Here is a 20,978-nt window from a genome sequence, read left to right as displayed (position 1 = left end):
CTGCAACCTCCGCCTCCCAGGTCCAAGAGATTCTCCTGCCTCAGCCTCCCAAGTAGCTGGTACTACAGGCATGCGTCACTATGCCTGGCTAATTGTAATGTCTGTCTTTATAGATATTTTTAATTTGTTAACAAATTGAAAAGAGATGAAGAAAACAAGTCTGTTCTATTGGTTTTCTTTATCTGCCTATGGTTTCTTTTGGTTTTTAAAGCATATTTAAGACAGTTAATTTAATATCTTTCGTGAGTTAAAGGTCTGTGCTTCTTCAGGGACTGTTTTGTTACCTTTCTTGTAAATAGAACATACTTTCTTGTTTCTTCGCATGCTTTATAATTTTTTGCTAAAACCTGGACATTTTGAATATTATAATGTGGTAACTGTAGATCAGTTTTATTTCTTTCAAGGCTTTACTGTAATTGTTTGTCATTACTGTTGTTACTGCTTTTTTTAGTGACTTTTCATGAACTAATTCTGTAAAATCTGTATCTGTTGTGCATAGCCACTGAAATCTCTGCTCCATTCGTTTAGTGGTCAGCTAATGGTTAGACAGATTTTCTTAAATGTCTGAAACAAATAAGTCTACAGGTTATACCAAGAAGCTCTTTGTGCACATTGGGGCACATTTTTAATGCTACAGCAGATAGTTCACAACTTTGCCTTACCCTTTACTTCTTACTTGTGTGGAGACTCGAGGTCACCTAGAGGCGAGAGTTTAAGACCTCAGATTTTCCTGGTCATATGCACATCACTATGCATACGTGGCTGTCTAGATTTCCAAGAACATGTTGGACCTTTACAAAGCCCCATGGGCATCTCATTCTCAAGCTTTTCGTTTTAAGTTTTTGATTAGCTTGCTGTTTTACCCAACTACTATCACCACTTCAGGGAGCTGTAATGTTAAGCAATTGCCACTGATTCCAACATATACTCCAATATGAAAGGCTGTTTGCACTGAGTTAGCTCTGAGTCTGGTCGAATAAAGATAAACTTTGATTTTCCAGGGAAGATCAAATCATGATAGTCATATGATAATGGGAATTTAGAAGAACTTTAACCACATTCTGCCCTCTCCAGTGGCTTTTAAGATGCTGGTTTTCACTATGACTGTGAAGATGTTGGTTTTCAAGGCTACCATGGATCTAGGGGAAGGAGAATGAGTATAGGACAAATTAAAACACCACACCACTCTGTTTTCTTACTGAGGTCGAGATCTTTTTCTTGAATAAAGACTCTCCAAATTGTTGCAAGATTTAAAAAAAAAAAGTTTACAGTTCTAAAAAAGTTTATTTGGATATTTTTTGAGTGTTCTCATTGTTTTTCTGGAGGGGAGGATTTTTAGAGGTCCTTACACCATCATTTCTGCTGATGTCACTCTCCATTCATCTACCTTTTAAAGCTAACCACAGAAGTACATGGGCTTTGGGATTGGAAGTCCTGAAAAATAATTCTAGCTTAGTTATTAATCAGCTGGTGATCTTGGAAAAGTTTCTTAACCTCTCAGAATTTTTCTCCTGTCAAATGAAGCTCCACTGTAGGATGTGTGAGCATATTAAATGACATGCAATGATGCAACGTAAACTCTAAGAGGTTTGCACATACAAGATATTTCTTTCTGTAATCTGCACTTCAAAGTGCATTGATCTTTTCTTTTTCTGGGCCTTAAGACCATGAGTATCTGATTTCTTCCTTTTGACCCCTATAGTTCCCAAAGTTGGCCCTTTCTTTGTGTCCTCTGTGATGAACAGACTTTAAGTTGGCCTCATGATTCCCACCTCCTAGTATTTGTGCCTTTGTTTAAGTCCCCCTTCTTGAACGTAGATGGGGCCTGTGACTCGCTCCTCATCAACACCATATGACAAAGTGATGATACTTCACTCCTGTGATGTTATATTATCTAAAACTCTGTCTTGCTTGCAGGCTTTTTAATTTTTTTGAAATTTAAAATTTCATTTTATTTTATTTAGCTTTACTGAAGTATAATTGACAAAATATGTCAGAGGCATTTGAAAACCAAAGTGACTGCATGTTGAACAGGAGCTAGGAAAAATAAGGCATTCTAAGTCATAGAATGAGATAGGAAGTCGGCACAAGATACATCTCATAAAGACCTTGCTGATAAAATAGGTTGTAGTAAGGAAACTGACCAAAACCCACCAAAATCAAGATGACCACGAAAGTGACCGCTGGTCGTCCTCACTGCTACACTCCCACCAGTGCCACGACAGTGTACAAATGTCATGGCAATGTCAGGAAGTTACCCTATATGGCCTAAAAAGGGGAGGTATGAAGAGTCCACCCCTTGTTTAGCATATCATCCAGAAATAACCATAAAAATGGGCAACCAGCAGCCCTCAGGGCTGCCCTGTCTATTGAATAGCCATTCTTTTATTACTTTACTTTCTTAATAAACTTGCTTTTGCTTTGTACTGTGGACTCTCCCTGAATTCTTTCTTGCGCGAGATTCAAGAACGCTCTCTTGAGGTCTGGATCCAGACCCCTTTCCTGTAACAATTAGACTTGTCCTTTTTCTCCTTTGCTGATTTTGGGGAAGCAAGCTTCTGTGCTGTGCAACATGGCCTGTGGAGAGGGACACAGGGCAAGGAACTCCTCTGGGCACTGAGGGTGGCCTCCTGCCAACAGTCTTGTTTCATGGCTGCAAGGAAATGAATTCTGCCAAAAACTTGAGTGAATTTGGAAGTCAATGACTTTTATAGGAACCCCCTAAGGCCAGATAGAACAAGAATGATGATCCCCATTTAGAAAAAATGATTCCAAGATGGTAAGGTTTGTCTGATCCCTACTTTTCCAACGTGAAGAAAGCATCAGGAAACAGTAAGGAATCTGGATTGTCTTCCTGCTGGAGAAACAGTAAGAAGTTAAGATACTATTTTGCTCTTCACAGGCAAATCCCAAAGCTCCCCCCAGCCCCTCTTGCAGTTGGGCAGCAGGTCCTCTGGTACCTGGCCCCTGGACAGTGCCCAATGCAAGGCCCTTAGTCAGATTCCTGTGAGGCCTGGCTGTGGGGAGTACCAAGAGGCCCCCTCCCCCCAGCAGTTCCCCCAGTGCCAGGGAACATCAGACACACGTCTCCTGGCAGTGCGGGCACCAGCAGGCATCTGCTCATGCCCAGTGCTCCAAGCTGCATGTGGAGAAGGTTGGTGCACCTACCCCAAGGACTGCATCTCTACCCCTGTCTAGTGCATGACTCCCCTGTCTGGTGCATGACTGCCCCTGGTTCTCAAAAACCATGTACCTCTGGGGAGGCCAGCTGTGCTCCAGCAAATGACAAACACTCCCTGAAGGTGGAAGAGATGAATGAATTTGAAGAGACACTCTCCCAGCTGCCCCCGTCTCAGCTCTGCTGCCATGGGCTGTCCCGCCTGAATCTCCACACGTGGAGGCAGCTGCCATGCAAGGACACAGCTCCAGGTGGAGGACTGGCTTCATCCCACAGCGGGTGCCATTCAGCGCTGTCCCTGCACTCCCTGGATCCCATCACCGGGCAAATTAGTGTGGAAGCTGGAACAACTATACGTCAGTTTGCCACCGTCTGGCAGAGGCCCCCTCAGGACTGTTGATTGTGGTGAGGTGAGGGGATGCTGTGTGTCAGCCTTGAGCATTCTCAGAGCTTTGGAGCCAGCACAGGACCTGCCATGCTTTTATTATGCCTTAACAGCAAGAACCAGCCCACCCTGGGCTTAAGGGACAGCCTCAACTCTCCTATTATTCTGTTTCAAAGTCTATGAATGTGAATGAGTTCATTTTTCTAGTGAGGACATCTATAGCTTTCATTATAGTTTCTAACAGTTACTGAGTTTTTTTCCAGGTACTGTTCTAAGCACTTTCCATATATTTATGCCTTTCAATTTTTATGATAACCCCTTTGAGGTGTGTATCATTACTACATCCATCTTATAGGGAGAAAATTGAGGGCTGGAGACAGTAAGGTCACACATTGAGAAAGTAAGAGAGCAAGATCTCAAACTCAGATTGCACCACAAGAGTCTGCTATCCAAAAAAGATTGCAACATCTTGTTTCAATAAGCCCATTTGGAAAGTAACATTACCTTCCTCTTACTTGTAGCTCAAGACAGACAAGGTTACTCATAGGTGGTTGTATCTATTTTCATTAGCCAGTGTGGTATACGATATGATCTTTTCAAATGACTTGCTCTAGGACCCATTTCTGCATGTTTAAAATTTCTTTTCCTCCCTCCCTCCCTTTCTTCCTTCTTTTTCCTTCTTTCCTTCCTTCCCTTCCCTTCCTTTTCCTTCCTTCCTTCCTTCCTTCCTTCCTTCCTTCCTTCCTTCCTTCCTTCCTGTGTTTAGTGTAGTAATTAAAAGTATATAACTTGATGAAATTTTTCATACATAAACATACATGTAACCACTACTCAGATCATGGTATGGAACAGAGATCAGCAAACTTTTTCTGTCGAGGGACAGATAATAAATAATGTAGGCTTTGCAGGCCATATGGTCTCTGTTGCAACACTCAGCTCTGTCATTGCAGTGCAATCCAGCATCTACAGAGCGTATGTAAATGAAAGTATGTGGCTATGGTCTAATAAAGCTTTATTTACAAAATCAGGTGGTAGGTCAGGTTTGGCTCATGATCACAGATCTTGTTGCACCTTGATATGGAATGTTCCCAGCACTTCAGAATGTTCCCTTGTACCCTTTCATAATCAATACTAACCCTCCTCACCTATCCAGAAATAACCACTATTGTGACATTTAGCACAATATGCAGTGTTTGTTTTTCCTGTTCTTGGACTTCATGTAAATAAAATCCTATAGCACATATACCTTTGCGACTATTTTTTTTTCACTCAGTATCACGTATATGATATTCATTTGTGTTGTTACATATAGCAGTAGTTCATTTATGTTTATCATTGTTGCTTTGCATGATTTTGTTGTATGACTATACTACAATTTATTTTTCTGTTCTCCTGTTGATAGAGGTACCATTTGGGCTACTATGTATGCTCCAGGGAGTGAAAAAAAATTACTCGACTCCTTTTGAGGAATTTGTACAAAAACAAATAAAATTGTGAATAATATCTTGATTGGTCACCATGCTCATTTAATTAATTAATTGATTTGCTCCATGCTTTGAGAATATACACTTGAACAGATTCGGGGTTCAATGCTGCTTAAGAGGCCCTTCTACTTTCTTGTACTTTTGTTTAAAAAGGGTAAAGACAGATTTTTCAGGGACTATTTAATGAGTGCCTTCTGGGTACAAGGCAATGAACTTGGAATCCAAAGGCCTGGCTCTCTCACATGGGAGATCTGAGCCTTTGGCTGTGAGAAATAATCTCTCAACCTCTTTTTTTCAAACTTGGAGGACAGTGTATGAGAACTAAAATGTCTGTGAACTGCAAATTGCCATTCACACATGAAGTGGTATTATTATTATATAAAAATATATAAATGGTGATCCCTGTCTTCAGAGTATCCAGTGTAGTAAAAATAACTACCACAAAGCACAGTATCTGATCATGTTATATAATAAATACTAACAGGGTTTCATGCTTGGACCAGACACAGAACTACTGGGTGGTGAAAATGCCTTAGCTGCCAGATAGAGCCACATGGCTCGCTGATGGATGTGAGAGAAAAGAATCGAAGATGATTCCAGGATTTTTTTGCCTGAGTCATACAACTGATAGAGTTGCCATTGATTGGGCTCGGGAAGTCAGAAAGAAGCAAGTTTTGTTTTGAACTTTACTGGGAGAATGGACAGGATTTTCCTAAGAGGAGGAGATGCGGAATTACAAATGGGAAGTGCATCTCAAATAAAGGGGAGCTGGGGGGACTTTTGGGAAGATCAGCTGGTTAAAGCTGAAAATGTAGGGAAAATAAAACAGAACTGCATGATAAATGGTGGCAGGCTGAAGAATGTGGTGTTTGTCCAATGTGCACATGAAGACAATGGAAGGTTTTGTAGTAACAGGACTTTATAGCATTGAGAATCAATGAGACCCCAAAAACTTCTTACTGAATCTCTCCTTCAGGCCAATTGCTGAGTAATTTATTCTTTGCGAGGCATCAAACAGTATTTATAAAAATAGAAGCAAGCAGTTGCTGCTGTGTTGATTCTCATCTGTTCCATCACAAGCCACACAAGGAACCATATTTGGGGTCTCATTTGTGACTGCAGGAACTGAAGTGGGGAGGCGGATGATGCCACCCTTAGAATTACAGAAACAGACATTTTCTCCAAGTTATTCAGGAATCAAGGGTGTCCAAGGAAGGCCAACCACAGGAGAACACTCAGAGCAAAATAAAACATAAACCATAATGTCAGAAGACCTGGATGTGTTCTTATCCAAGCTGTTCAATCATTGAGTTATTCTGGGCAAGTTACCCACTGAGCTCAGCACCTTCATCTGCAAAATGAAGGTGGTTGTCCCTTCCCGACCTTCCTTCCAGGGCTGTAATAAAAGTATAATAAGATGCTGTAAGTCAAACACCTTACACGCTGCAGTGCACTAATCAAAGTCTCTTTGTCAGTACAATGAATTAGGGCAGCAAACTTGTTCTGCTTCTCGCCCCTGCTCATTTTCCACAGATCCAGCCATGCGACTTTTTAGACTCTTGTTAAAAATCAGTGGCTTGTAATTTTTCAGGCCACTTCTAGGACAAGGCTGAGACAGACAGAGCAAAGAGGGGAGATCCCAAGGGCTCACCTTAGAGGAAGGCACAATTTGGTAGGCCTAGATGCAACGGCAGCTTTTTTTCTGCAGACCCAACATGGCAATTGAGAATCTGAAGTTCTCATTCAAGAGCCCCAAGTAGTCCTAAGGCACTTTCAACTTTCAAGCTCTCTGCCAATCATTGGTAGTTCTCCCAAGCTCTGTGTGAGGCAAGGAAACTTTAGGAGGCTGACTCCGACATTTTGAAAATGGAACAATGACTCTCTTTTCTCTTTTTTATTTTTATTTTTATTTTTTGGACTGCCTGCTGCCCCTTCAGGCAGACTCATAGCAGCCCTGAACGCCAGCTGCCCATCACAGCTGTCCTGGCCTCAGTGGCTCCCACAGGCTCACCGGCTCTATTTCGGAAAAGGCCCGAGGGCAGAGCAGAGCCTTTTCATTGTTTTCGCTGTTGGGCTTCCCTAGCCATTGAGGAAGAACGTTCTCTTGGAAGGAGACACAGCTGCCTGTGGCACTGTGTGTACATAGTAATTATCATGCTTTTAAATAAATTACCTGATGCCTCAAAATTAAAAGGAAATCCACCAAAATCTTAAAAAAAAAAAGTGGTTTATGGGAAGGGGCCATTGTATAATAAATTGCTCAGAAGCTGAAATTTGACCTCAGATGACATTGAGTTCAAATCTCAGCTCTGTTATTTATGGAGCAGAAGCAAACTTGGACTAGTTACTGCAAGCCTCATTTCCCTCATCCGTGAAGTGCAGCCAATAATACCTACCGTGTAAGATTATTATATGGTTCACATGACACAGATAAAATGATTCCAGTCATGCTTGGTACGTGGTAAACTATCAAGAAATAGTATTTTGATAATGAAAGATAAACATGAGCTCAAGTTCATGTCCCACAAAAGTTAGCTGAAGTGAGAGTGTGGGTAGACTTAAATTATGCTAGAAAATTATGGTAATCAATTATGGTAGGTTGTTGTGTACCTGATATGTTCACACCTTCTTGTATCCATGCCCTTGGATAGTTCCCTCCCACAAAGATGCTGCATTTGGCCATGTGACTTGCTCTGGCCAATGGGACAAGAGCAAATATGATGCAATCTAAGGCTTGAAAAGCACATGTGCATTAGCACATGTTCTCTCTAGTGGCCCTTGGGTCCCTATTGAGAAGCTATGTGAACAGCATGCCTGGGCTAGACTGCTGGAGGATGAGACATAGGGAGAAGAGCTGAGCCATCTCAGCAAGGGTCATACTAAAGCAACCAGCTCCCAGCTGATGTGGCAGCTGACTTCATACGTATGAATAAGCCCAGCTGAGACCAGCAGAAGAATAGCCAGCTGAGCCCAGCCCACATTGCCAACTCATAGAATCCCGAGCTAAATAAATGATTGTTGTATTCAGCAAGTTTTTGGTGGCTTATTATGCAGCCATAGATAATCCATGCTCCAATGCATCCAGTGTCTGAGAGCTGTAGTGAAAACTGAGGAAGGACTAGTTTGGTCTTTTCTTTGGGTCTAGCAGACCAACAAGTCCTTGTGTCCAGATAAGAATTTTGTTGGCCCAGCAACCTGAGCTTCTATGGGACATAGAAGAATCCATCAAAGACCTTTGGTAGAAATCTTTGTCTGTGCTTAGTAAACTTCCCAGCTTACAGTCTGAGTATTCATACATGTCTTATGAAGTATTATGAAGCCTGGCTCATCAGCTCCAGCCTGCAGCAGAAATCCTCACTGGAATGATTGATTAGCACTGAGCAGGATATATTCAATAAAGCACCACTCATAGGAGATCATCATTTGAGACTTCATTAGAGGTGCCTTGGTTGTTACACAGAGGCTATTTAGAGGCAGTGAATGAATTCGATTTGCTTTTTAATTTCCAGCCTAGAAAGTTGGACTCTGTCCTTTTTTACTCTCAGAGTTAAGAAAGAGATTTTTAAGATTAATTAGATGAGACTGAATTTATCCACTTAAAGGTGATCTTGGGGAAACTGAAAGAGCAGTGAGGCTGAGAGGAACTGGAGAATGAGATGAAACTGGGTCACCTCTGGTGGTACTCAGGGGTTGGCAGCCAGGACTCCTCACCTGGCAGCTGGAGTCCTTATCTGCCCTGGACCATTTTCTGAGCATTGTGACCAACACCATTGCTATAGGAGAGGAGGAAAACCTGTGCACGCACTAAGCCCATTTGATGCTCTTTCTTGCCCAGGCTGGCAAGAGGCTAGGAGCAATGGTCTTTATCTTTGTAGTGTTAACAAGCAGCACCAGTAACAACCATCGCCAGTTACTAAACAGGTTCCACGAATTAGGTATTTTATGAGTATTATTTCTAATTGTTACAAAATAGTAGGTGTTATTCCCCATTTACAAAGAGGAAGACCTGTGCCCAGGGATGTTAAACAACTCCTTCAAGGTTACACAACCAGTTGAGATTCAGACCCAGGAAGACCATGCCCCTTCCGCTACACCTCACTGCCTCATTCAGAATACCAAGCAGGACAAGCAATGTCTCCAAAGGTCATGAGGTCCAGCTCCTGCCCCCAGGGAAAGCTAGATCAAGATTATAAAGATAATGTATACTTCTCTGAATATAATAAGCAGAGAAAATCCATATGTTCATAAAGAATATTACAGGCCCTCCATTTTCTAAAGCTGAAGGTTTCCTTCTGTTCTGTTAGCCCAAGTGTCTGAGTCCATTTTCTCCAATTCTGCTTTCACTGGGGATGAAAAACCCATTTACCTTGGCTCCATTGGAAAACTGAGAAGATGGCAACTTAGGCAGTAGAATCTGGAAGCTGATCAACGGTCCTCCTTCTTTTTTTTTTTTTTTTTTTTGAGACAGTCTCACTCTGTCACCCAGGCTGGAGTGCAGTGGTGCGATCTCAACTCACTGAAACCTCCACCTCCCAGGTTCAAGCGATTCTCATGCCTCAGCCTCCCAAGTAGCTGGAATTACCAACATGTGCCACCATGTCTGGCTAATTTTTTTATTTTTAGTAGAGATGGGGTTTTGCCATGCAGGACAGGCTGGTCTTGAACTCCCGACCTCAGGTGATATTCACTTGCCTCGGCCTCCCAAAGTGCTGGGATTACAGGCGTGAGCCACCATGCCCGGCCAGTCCTCCTTCTTTAAAGCATCCTCTCATCATTCATTCATTCATTCTATAAGCATCTATTATCTAACATGTTTGTTTCTAATCTTGTTTCTATTCTTAATCTGCTTGTCATCTAAAAGGCTCAACTCATTTTATAGTCTGTAAAATGTGTGTAATAAAATGGACTCCAGCTGAGCCCAAAAGTAATTAAAAACTCTTGGGAACAGCATCCTTTCTGTAACCTGGGGAACTCCCATGAGTAACTGAGGACCAAGCCATCATACCTGGAGTAGGTGAGATTTGTGGTTCTTAAAAAGGGCAGAGACAACAGCTGTGAGGATTTTGCACAGTGCCAGCAGTATACAGCAGGTGTTCAATAAAGGACAACTGTCAGTATATTGTTACATAGTCAAACTGCCTAAACCAACTCAGTATTGATTCATCAAGTTTTGAGAATTTTAAAAATAAATCATATGCTTTCTGTAGGAAAGAAAAATATCTCAGTGACTTATGATTTGGAGAATATGGATTTGAATACCGGCTCTGTCATTTATTAACTTTCCATCTTTGGAGAATGTTTTTAACCTCTCTGACCCTCAATGTTTTTATCTCCCCACTGTAGGAAGATTTGCTGAGCATTTCTTATGAACTCGATATTTTTCTAGGTTGTTGAGAATATAAAAATATACATTAGGATCTGGTTTCTGACCTAGGGCCTAAGGATTGTTATTTTTTTTAGAGACAGGGTTTCACTTTATCACACCGGCTTAAGTGCAGTTGTGTGATCATGGTTCACTAAAACCTCAAACTCTTGGGCTCAAGCCATCCTCTTGAGTAGCTGGTACTATAAGCACATGCCACCAAGTCCAGCTAAGTTTTTTGTAGACAAAGTGTCTTGGTATGTTGCCCAGGCTAGTTTCGAATTCCTGGCCTCAAGCTATCCTCCCACTTTGGCTTCCCGAAGCACTGGATGACAGGCCGCTATGCCCAGCCTGACCTAGGAATGCTTATAACATGGCTGGGAAACTGAGGGGGAATAGCCAGAGGGGAAATCCTAGGAGGCAAAAAGTTGTGGGATGGGAAGATGTTCAGACCAGGAAAAAACAGAAGAGAGAGCTTCATGAATTGTGGGACATTAGCTGAACCTCAAAGGTGAGGCAGGCGTTAAGTACAAATACTCAGAGAAGGGCATTTTCAACAAAACATGGAGAGGGAACAGTGAACTCCAGCTGAAATCCTAGGGCATGTTCAGGGAAATCTGAGTGAACCAGCCCAGACAGGGCAAAGTTTCCCAGCTGGCAGCAGCGAGTGAGAAAGGCAAACAGGAAGAGCCGGGTTGCTTCAGGAGGGTGGCCTTTAGAGCCCATGAACTGTATCTTTCAGCTTCCTTTGTTCAGACCACCTTCAATGTGATGCACCAGAGGTAGCTTTGCTTTGCTTTGTTTGCTTTGATAAAATCTTCAAAAGGGAAGGCGATGACAAAGTTGTTCCAGGGAGAAATGTTTCCTTTCTTATGGTATTAATCAGAAAGCAGCAAAGCTAGCCAGAAGCATGTTGCCCGCTGCATGCATTGTGGGAGGTGATGTCCATGGGAACTCAGAGCCCATCCTCAAAGACAGACTTTGGTCTCCAAGAGACAAGCTGAGATTCCTGATTTTTATTTCTGATAACTCCTTTTCTAGACTTATTAAATTTTTAAGGTAATTTCCCCAAGTCTACACTCCATGAAGATTTTCAGAAGAAATGTCAACAGAAGAGTGTTTTCTTTCGGCTCCTTGTGACTGCATTCTTCTGGGTGGGCTTCTTCTCTTTGTTCATGTTGGGTGGGCCTTTGTTCTACCTCCTCAAAAACATGCCAGGGAAGAAGAACTGGTCCCGACACATCAGATTTAACACTTCTCAAACACAGACTCTGGTTATCCCGTGGAAACAACCCAAGCTCTTTGCTTGGCTCCTGTGTGGAACGTGACACTCTGGTGTCAGTGTAGGAATGTGTTAGCCAAATTATCTTGCTTAATAATTCCTTTTACACTTCTTTTCAGCTCTGATGTCCACCAATACACATATAAAAAGTAATTTGCATCAGAAGTGGCATTTGAGGTATCAGATTAATGATGATCATGGCTATGAGCCTCCAGGACTGAAAGGCCACATTGCCAGCCCTGAATACTCAGAGGGTATAGGAAAGACAAGAGGACAAGTTAAAGTCGATCAATAGCTATGAGCAAATGAGGTCACTGCCCTGCCTTCCACAAACTTCCCTATCAATTGGTCAAGAACAAGTTGGTCATAGCTTTAAAAAGTTGAAAAAGGAAAGGAGAAAATATTCAGTCACCTGGACAAAAACTGAAGCCCGGGAACCTGCTCCCCTATTTTTTAACATAAAAATGAGAATAAATATTGATCCAAAGGAATACTGGGTTCCCAGTTTTGAAAATAGTTTCCTCTTTTGTTAGAATTATGAAAAGAAGTTGTTTATATGCGATAGTAGGTTCCCCAGATTCTTTTCTGTCTCTCGTCCTCTCTACACTGGTTGAAAAGAGGATGAGGATGAACAAGCTCAAAGGTGGAGGCAAGGCAGGCCTGGGGTCCTCCCACTGTGTTCCCATGTGTGCCCCTCTTCCATTCCATAGACAAATCCTCACATTACTTCCAGGTGCCTCTGATGAAAGAAGACAGAAGAAGTCTCAAACACACGAATTTTGTGCTCTGAATTTTGAGAATCTATTTGAAACTAGAGCTACTGGCCAAATTGTGGCATGGCCATATGGGTAACATTGCATTTAATAAATCAAAGGGAATTGGCAAGAGGAAGGCCTGGGTGGCTTTTCATGGGTCTCCATACTACTTGTTTGAGCCCTGAGTAAAAGCTTCTACTGGATAATGCCATGGGCTGACCCTTGCAAATGCAATGGCTGTGATGGAAAAAGGACATTTCATTAAAAAAAATAGGGAGGGGGAATACTCAGGTGACCAACAGTTACATTTTCTTTTGTCACAGGTAGATGAGAATAGATTCAGTGGTGTGAGCCAGTTCATTCTGACTCATGAGAGCTGACTGTTGAATTTTGAGGAAATTTGTGAGCCATTAGTAGCTTGAAATTAGTCATGGGAGGACTATTTAAACCATAGAAATTGGCAAATGCTACAAATCAGGACTCCCCAGCCCCACCCTGGAAAGCTACTGTTATTTACCAGCACACCAGTGAGAATAGTCCAGATAACACTCCTCATTAAAAATTTCCCAGTGCTCCAAGCTCCTTGAGAAGTGCAGAAATAGAGGTTTTGCTCAAGTATTTGTCAAACCTCAGTTGGGGAGACCGTTTAGCCTTCTCAATGCAAGGTCATTTTTTGAGTTTGTTGATCACAGTGAAATGCACATTCAACACTCTAAGAGAAAGTTATCGGTTAAAAGTATACACATGTGCCATCAACTATAAAGGCAAAGAACATATAGGTAACATTCATACTGCCTCCAGCCCATCTTTTATCTGAATTGTGCTGAGCCCTAAAGAAACTGTTGGGCACTCAAAGTTTTGGGCTGAAAAGAGAAGGGCCTTATCCACATCCATGTCCTGTAGCCAAGTCTGTAGAGGGATAAGAATATTTCCCCCCTTTCTCTTTCTCTATTCCTCCTATCCCTGTCTCCCTATACTCTCTCTCTCTCTCTCTCTCTCTCTCTTTCTGCTTCTCTCTCTCTCTGTCTCTCTCTCTCTCTCTCTCTCTGTCTCTGTCTCTCTCTCTCTCGCTCTCTCTCTCTCTCTCTCTCCTTCTTTCCCTGGGGTGGAAATCACAGCCCAGGCCCACAGTGAAATACAGTTATAACTCACTTTTGCTTTATTTGAGATGAAAAAGCCAAGCATTCCTTATCTATCTATGAAAGTGTACATATCAAAAAGAGTAAGTAGAGTCCTTAAATATAAGTGTTTTAATCAAGATATTTGCAGTTCTACCTAGTTTCCCTCAGGGTGAATGTAATAAAGATGTTATGTGACATTTATTGCAATGTTCCAGGCACTGCTTTGCATATATATAATAATATGATATGTAGGCATTAGCCTAAATCTCATTCAAAGATGCAGCATCTTTGCTTAAGAAAAACTGTTTTCAAATAAGAAAAATCATGGCATGAAGGTATTGGGGAGAGCAAGCTCATTTGGAGATTTTCTCCTAGAGTATCCTGTTGTGTTCTCTCGGCTTTTGTCATTGAGGTTTCTCTCATTAAAGCAACTTTGGTGGTATCTTAAACAGCACTGCTCTCTGCTGAGTCCAGTAATGTGATGTTCTACACTTCCATATCCATCTCCTTGTCTGCAAAGGCTATTTGCTGGCACCTTCTAAGAGGGTTTGGGAATCATACCAGCAAGTTGCTTTGCTGCTTACCATAAGATGCTCGTCTTCCCTCTGAGGCTCTGCCAATAGCCTCATTGGGTGCGAGTGTGTGGAGGGCCCAGACATGAAGTTCAGGGCACTAGAATCAGAATATTTGCAGCCATTCAGTCACACCCTGCTTCTCTTAGGAAATAGAGGCAGGAGGGTCCACTTCATTGTCTCTGAACTCAGATAAGGTGTCTGCAACTCACCCCAAGCCTGTGTTTTCCAGCCTCCTTAGGGTCAGAGTTGTGTCCCTTTCCCTCCAAAGCAATGGTCCCTTTGATCAAAATCTAGAAGACGTCATCAGGTTACCCACCATCCCTGCACCACAGTCATGCACACAGTGACCCCTCTGAGGTCACCTACTTCATTTGAGGACAGGTCTGACTTTTTAAAATGTTTTTCTATTATTGAACTGAATTCCATGTTTTTTTTCTACCTGGGGAGTCCAGTTCTAGCCTTTGAAGTTTTATAGTAGTTTTATAGTAGAACCAGCTTCATACACTCTTCCCTGCCAGGGTCCTGCACACACAGAACACAGCCATTCTGCTCTTAGGCACAGGAAACTGCATTTTAGGTGATAACCTATATTAAGCATATAAAGATTTAATATTAAAACCAAGTAAAAGAAGTGATCTGGAAAAAAGGAGTACTTTAGAATTCCACACCCCCCGCCACCCCGAGGCACTCTCCTGAGGGACTTAGTTTTCCAGAGGCCAGATCACCTGATTTCTTCATACTCGCATAGAGACTTGTTCTGTATTTCTCCATTGGTTCAGCTGATTGTTCTAGGCCCTTCCTAATCTCCTTTTCACTGCCTGCTTGCGTAAAATATTTATAACCTTGATTGACAGCAATTTTTCTGTGGTATGTAAAACTTAAGACAACTTAAGATCTTGAAAATGGGATGAAATCTTTGTTACCAGAAAGTCCAGGATGGAGAGAAGACATTTGGAGGTGCCATTTGACAGAGGGATCGTGAAGAAGGTGAGGCTTTGGGGAAGATACCAGAGCCTCTCCATAGGTTGCTGAGAAGGGTTTTCTGTGATCTGTATAAACCTGCATCAATACTCCATTGCTTTATGAGCTTAAGAGAACAAACTGCTTTCTCCCATGGTGTCTTTTGACTTCAAGAAGTTATTTTCCAGGTTACTGCAAAGTATATATGTCTTTTTAATCTTTTTAGGTTGCCCTGCAAATTAAAGTACATTTAGCACAAGGCAGTTTTGATCAATCAATTAAGTAGTTATGATTTCTAAATATTGCGAGCCTTTAAAAATGTGTAATTGAGAATCTTGGATCTTTGCAATGTTCACATGGATGTCCTCCTTTCTTTAAGAGGGCTCCAAAAGATGAGTTGAGGAACTGAAGGATGTAGAGTTTAAAAAGCTAAATTGCCAAGGGATCAGGGCAGATAGGCACTAAAGGAATTAAGAGGAGACATTACTTCCATTCAGACTGAGCAGGGAAAGCTTCCTGAAGGAGAGGGCACTTGAGGCATGAAAGGGTAGTTTGCAGTTTGTTAGACGAAGAGTAGTTGTCAAGGCATTCAGGAGGTAGAAGACATGAGTGAAGGGGTGTTGTAGGCAGAATCATGGCCCCACAAAGATGTCCATGTGTTGTGCCAAACCCCTATTAACCTTAATATGGAAGGCACCAGGTTCAAGAGGCTGAAGAAAAGACCCAGATCCAGGAAACAGGACATGGGGTTTGATTAGGGGCTCCCATACAGGGGAGAGAGTCCAGTGGCAGTGGGCTGGACAGGAAAATTGCAACTGTGTGCAAACAGCGTGGAGTTCATATAGCATTTTTTACTTAACACCCTCCCCTTAAAGACCTCCACCTGACAACCTTCGTTTGTCCCAAAATGCAGGGCCTCAGTCCCCTGTATGGCCCGAAGTCCACGGGACTGGCTGAGGGGGCTCAGATGTTCCCCCATAGACAAGGAATGAATCTCTGGGTTGTCCATGCCCGGATTCCCTAGCTCGGAACACACATTCAGATGTGTCTCCCACACAGGGTCATTTCCAGAGTATGCCTGAGTTATTGCTATCAGGGGCATTTACTCTATACCATGTCCAAATCCTAGGAACCTGTGACTATGTTACCTTACATGGCAAAAGGGACTCTGTAGATGTGATTAAGGGTCTTGAAATGGGGAGACTTTCCTAGATCACTGGGGTAGACCCATGCTAATCACATGATTTCTTAAAAGCCGAGTCTCTCTTGACTGTTGTCAGAAAGAAATGTGATGATGGAGGAAGGCTCAGAGTTGCTACATTGCCGGCTTTGGAGATGGAGAATGGGGACCATGAGCTGAGGAATGTGGGTGGATTTAGAAGCTGGAAAAAGCAAAGAAATAAATTCTTCCTTAGATCTTTCCGAAAGGACACATCCTGTCTACCCCCTGACTTTAGCCCAGTGAGACCCACATTGGACTTCTGACCTACAGAACAACACGACACTAAATTTTTGTTGTTTGAAGTCACTAAGTCCATAGTAATTTGCTGTGGCAGCAGTAGAAAATGCAAACAGTTGGCACTGAGGGAGAGTGAGTGGATTTCTCCAGCCAGAATTTGGGGAAAATGACAATAAAGTATTTTTTCATTTCTATTTTTTTAATCTTTAGAAGCTTTATTTAGGCTTTTGAACAAAAGTTTATTCTTAAAAATTTCAAGGATCATATTTTCAATGTAATAACATCTGTTTTATTGGCATTGAAAAAATAGCATTTTTTTAAACTTTTATTTTAAGTTCAGGGGTACATGGGCAGGATTGTTACATAGGTAAACTTGTGTAAGGAGGGTTTGTTGTACAGATTATTTTATCACCCAGATATTAAGCCTAGTATCCATTAATTATTTTTTTGATCCTCCCCCTCCTCCCACCCTCCATCCTTTGATAGACCCCAGTATCTGTTATTCCCTTCTATGTGTCCATGTGTTCCCATCATTTAGCTCCCACTTATAAGTAAGAACATACAGTACTTGGCTTTCTGTTCCTATATGAGTTTGCTGAGGATAATGGCCTCCAGATTCATCTGTGCCTCTGCAGAGGACATGATCTCATTCTTTTTTATGGCTGCATAGTATTCCATGGTATATATGTACAACATTTTCTTTATGCAGTCTATCATTGACGATCATTTAGATTGATTCCATGTCTTTGCTATTGTGAATAGTGCTGCAATGAACATTCATGCATGCATGTTTCTTTATAAAAGAATGATTTGTATTCTTTTGGGTATATACCCAGTAATGGGATTACTGGGTCAAATGCTATTTCTGTCTTTAGGTCTTTCAGGAACCACCACACTATCTTCCACAATGGCTGAATGAATTTACACTCCCATCAACAGTGTATAAGCATTCCTTTATCGCCACAACCTTGTCAACATCTTTTATTTTTTTGACTTTTTAAGAATAGCCATTCTGACTGCTGTGAGATGGCATCTCATTGTGGTTTTAATTTGCATTTCTCTAATGATCAGTGATGTTGAGCTTCTTTTCATGTTTGTTGGCCACATGTATGTCTTCTTTTGAAAAGTATCTGCTTATGTCCTTTGCCACTTTTTAATGGGTTGTTTTTTCTTGTAAATTTGTTTAAGTTCTTTATAGATACTGGATATTAGGCCTGTGTCAGATGCATAGATTACAAAAATTTTCTCCCATTCTTAGGTTATCTATTCACTCTGCTGATAGTTTCTTTTGCTGTGCAGAAGATGTTTTATTGTAATTAGATTCCATTTGTCATTTTTTGCTTTTGTTGCAATTGCTTTTGTTGTCCTCATCATGAAATCTTTGCCCATGCCTAGTCTGAATGGCATTACCTAGTTTGTCTTCCAAAGTTTTTGTAGTTTTGGGTTTTACATGTAAGTCTTTAATCCATCTTCAGTAAATTTTTGTATATGGTGTAAGGAAGGGGTCCAGTTTCAATCTTCTGCATATAGCTAGCCAGTTATCCCATCACGATTTATTGAATAAGGAATCCTTTCCCTGTTGCTTGTTTTTGTCAGGTTTGTTAAAGATCAGATAGTTGTAGGTTTGTGATCTTATTTCTGGGTTCTCTATTCTGTTCTATTTGTCTATGTGTCTGTTTTTGTATCAGTGTCATGTTGTTTTGGTTACTGTAGTCCTGTTTCATAGTTTGAAGTTGGGTAGTGTGATGCCTCCAGCTTTGTTCTTTCTGCCTTGGCTATTTAGGCTTTTTTTGGGTTCCATATGAATTTTAAAATAGCTTTTCTAGTTTTGTGAAGAATTTCAATGGTAGTTTAATAGAAATAGCATTGAATCTACAAATTACTTTGGTCAGTATGGCCATTTTAATGATATTGATTCTTCCTATCCATGAACATTGAATGTTTTTCTATTTGTGTCATCCTTGATTTCTTTGAGCAGTGGTTTGTAGTTCTGCTTGTAGAGATCTTTTACTTCCCCAGTTAGTTGTATTCCTAGGTATTTTATTCTTTTTGGGGCAGTTGTGAATGGGAACACTAAAGGCCCATATCGAAAAGCTAGAAAGATCTCAAATCAACAACCTAACATCACAACTAAAAGAACTAGAGAACCAAGCACAAACAAATCCCAGGGCTAGCAAAAGACAAAAAATAACCAAAATCAGACCTGAACTGAAGGAGATTGGACATGAAAAACCATTCAAGAGATAAATGAATCCAGGAGTTGGTTTTTTTTTTAAAAAAAAATAAAATAGACTGCTAGCTAGATTAATAAAGAAGAAAAGAGAGAAGATTCAAATAAACACAATCAGAAACAAGGTGGTTATTACCACTGACCCCCCAGAAATACAAAAAACCATCAGAGAATATTATGAACACCTCTTTGCACATAAACTAGAAAATCTAGAAGAAATGGATAAATTCCTGGACACATATACCCTCCCAAGACTGAACCAGGAAGAAATTGAATCCCTGAACAGTCCAATGATGAGCTCTGAAATTGAGGCAGTCATAAATAGCCTATCAACCAAAAAAAGACTAGGACCAGATGGAGTTGCAACTGAATTCTACCAGATATACAAAGAAGAGCTGGTGCCATTCCTAATGAAGCTATTCCAAAAACATTGAGGGAGAGACTCTGCTAACTCATTCTATGAGGACAGCATCATCCAGATACCAAAACCTGGCAGAGATACAACAAAAAAAGAAAACTTTAGGCCAATATCCTTGATGAATATCAATGCAAAAATCCTCAACAAAATACTGGCAAACTGAATCCAGCAGCACATCAAACAGCTTATCCACCAAGATCAAGAAGGCTTTATCCCTGGGATGTAAGGTTGGTTCAACATATGTAAATCAATAAATACGATTCATCACATAAACAGAACTAAAGACAAAAACCACATGATTATTTCAATAGATGCAGAAAGGCTTTCATTGAAATTCAACATCATTCATGTTTAAAAAATTTGAATAGACTAGGTATTGAAGGAACATACTTGAAAATATTAAGAGCCTTATATGACAAACCCACAGCCAACATCATATTGAATGGGCAAAAGCTGGAAGCATTCTCTGTGTAAACTGGCACAAGATAAGGATGCCCTCTCTCACCACCCCTATTCAACATAGTATTGTCCTGGCCAGGGCAATCAGGCAAGAGAAAGAAATAAAGGACATTCCAAATAGGAAGAGAGGAAGTCAAACTATCCCAGTTTGCAGATGACATTAACTTATATCTAGAAAACCCCATAGTCTCAGCCCAAAACCTTCTTAAGCTGACAAACATCTTTAGCAAAGTTTCAGGATACAAAATCAATGTACAAAAATCACCAGCATTCTTATATGCCCACAGTCAAGCCAAGAACCAAATCAGGTACAAACTCCCATTCACAATTGCCACAAAAAGTGTTTAGAAAGAAAGCTAGAAACAGGCTTAATTTGGTTTGGGTGACTTCTGTTACCATTTTGGACAATTGATTAGCATGGATTCTCAAATATACATGTCTTAAGAGCTTTTCAGAAGGTACATTCCACATTTTGTGATCCAACTAACAGTTGCAGAACAAAAACCCATTAAAGAAAAACCATAACTTCCAGCTACTGAAATTGACCAATTGTATGTTGCAATTTCCTGTACAACAAGATTTTACAGCAAAGAATTTGGATAGCCTTTTAAAGTCTGATAGAAGACTGGATTGTGCTTTTAAAAATAGAATCTGTTCAGTACTTTGCCAATTGTCAAGATTAGTGCAATTCCCACTTAACACTCTGCCTTTGAAAATTGTCTTTGTGCTATCTTAGTCCCCTTGGGAAATCAGTGAAATAGTTAAGGAGGCTGAGACTCAGTGGTGTTAAGTGACTTGCCCCAGGTTGCAAAGCCTTTGAATGACAACTGGCACTTGGACTCCAATTATTCTCCAGGAGCATTGCCAGGTTCTAGGGAGAAGGACGCTGCCTCTTCTGTGTGCCACAGGAGTAGTAACCCAGCCAAACCCCCAGACCTCCTGCTGTCAGCCTATGAAAGACATGGTCAGAGTGACAGGAGCTGCTCTCCTTCAGAGCTGGTGTGGACAGGCACGGGGCACTGTGGCTCCTTTCCAGCACAGAGGGACCCATTTAAAGGAGCTTTCCACTCAGTTGGAAAGGGGCTGCTTTCTGGGATCTCATGAGGAAACAGCAAGGGTAATGGTCTCTGTAATATTTTGGAAAATGAATAAATTCAGCAAGTTGAGTTCACCAATATGGCACATTGCCTAGATGGGTCCCATGCTCAGAACACACTTATTCTCTCTTCCCCTTTATAGCATAACAGGTTCCTTCAGCTCACAGGACCTGGCCCCTGGTGGGAGGTGGGGAAGTAAGGAGAGGGAATATT

The sequence above is a fragment of the Homo sapiens genome, chromosome 20 (genome assembly GCF_000001405.40).
Source record: "Homo sapiens chromosome 20, GRCh38.p14 Primary Assembly".
NCBI lineage: Eukaryota > Metazoa > Chordata > Mammalia > Primates > Hominidae > Homo > Homo sapiens.
Note: the sequence above shows the minus strand (reverse complement) of the source record.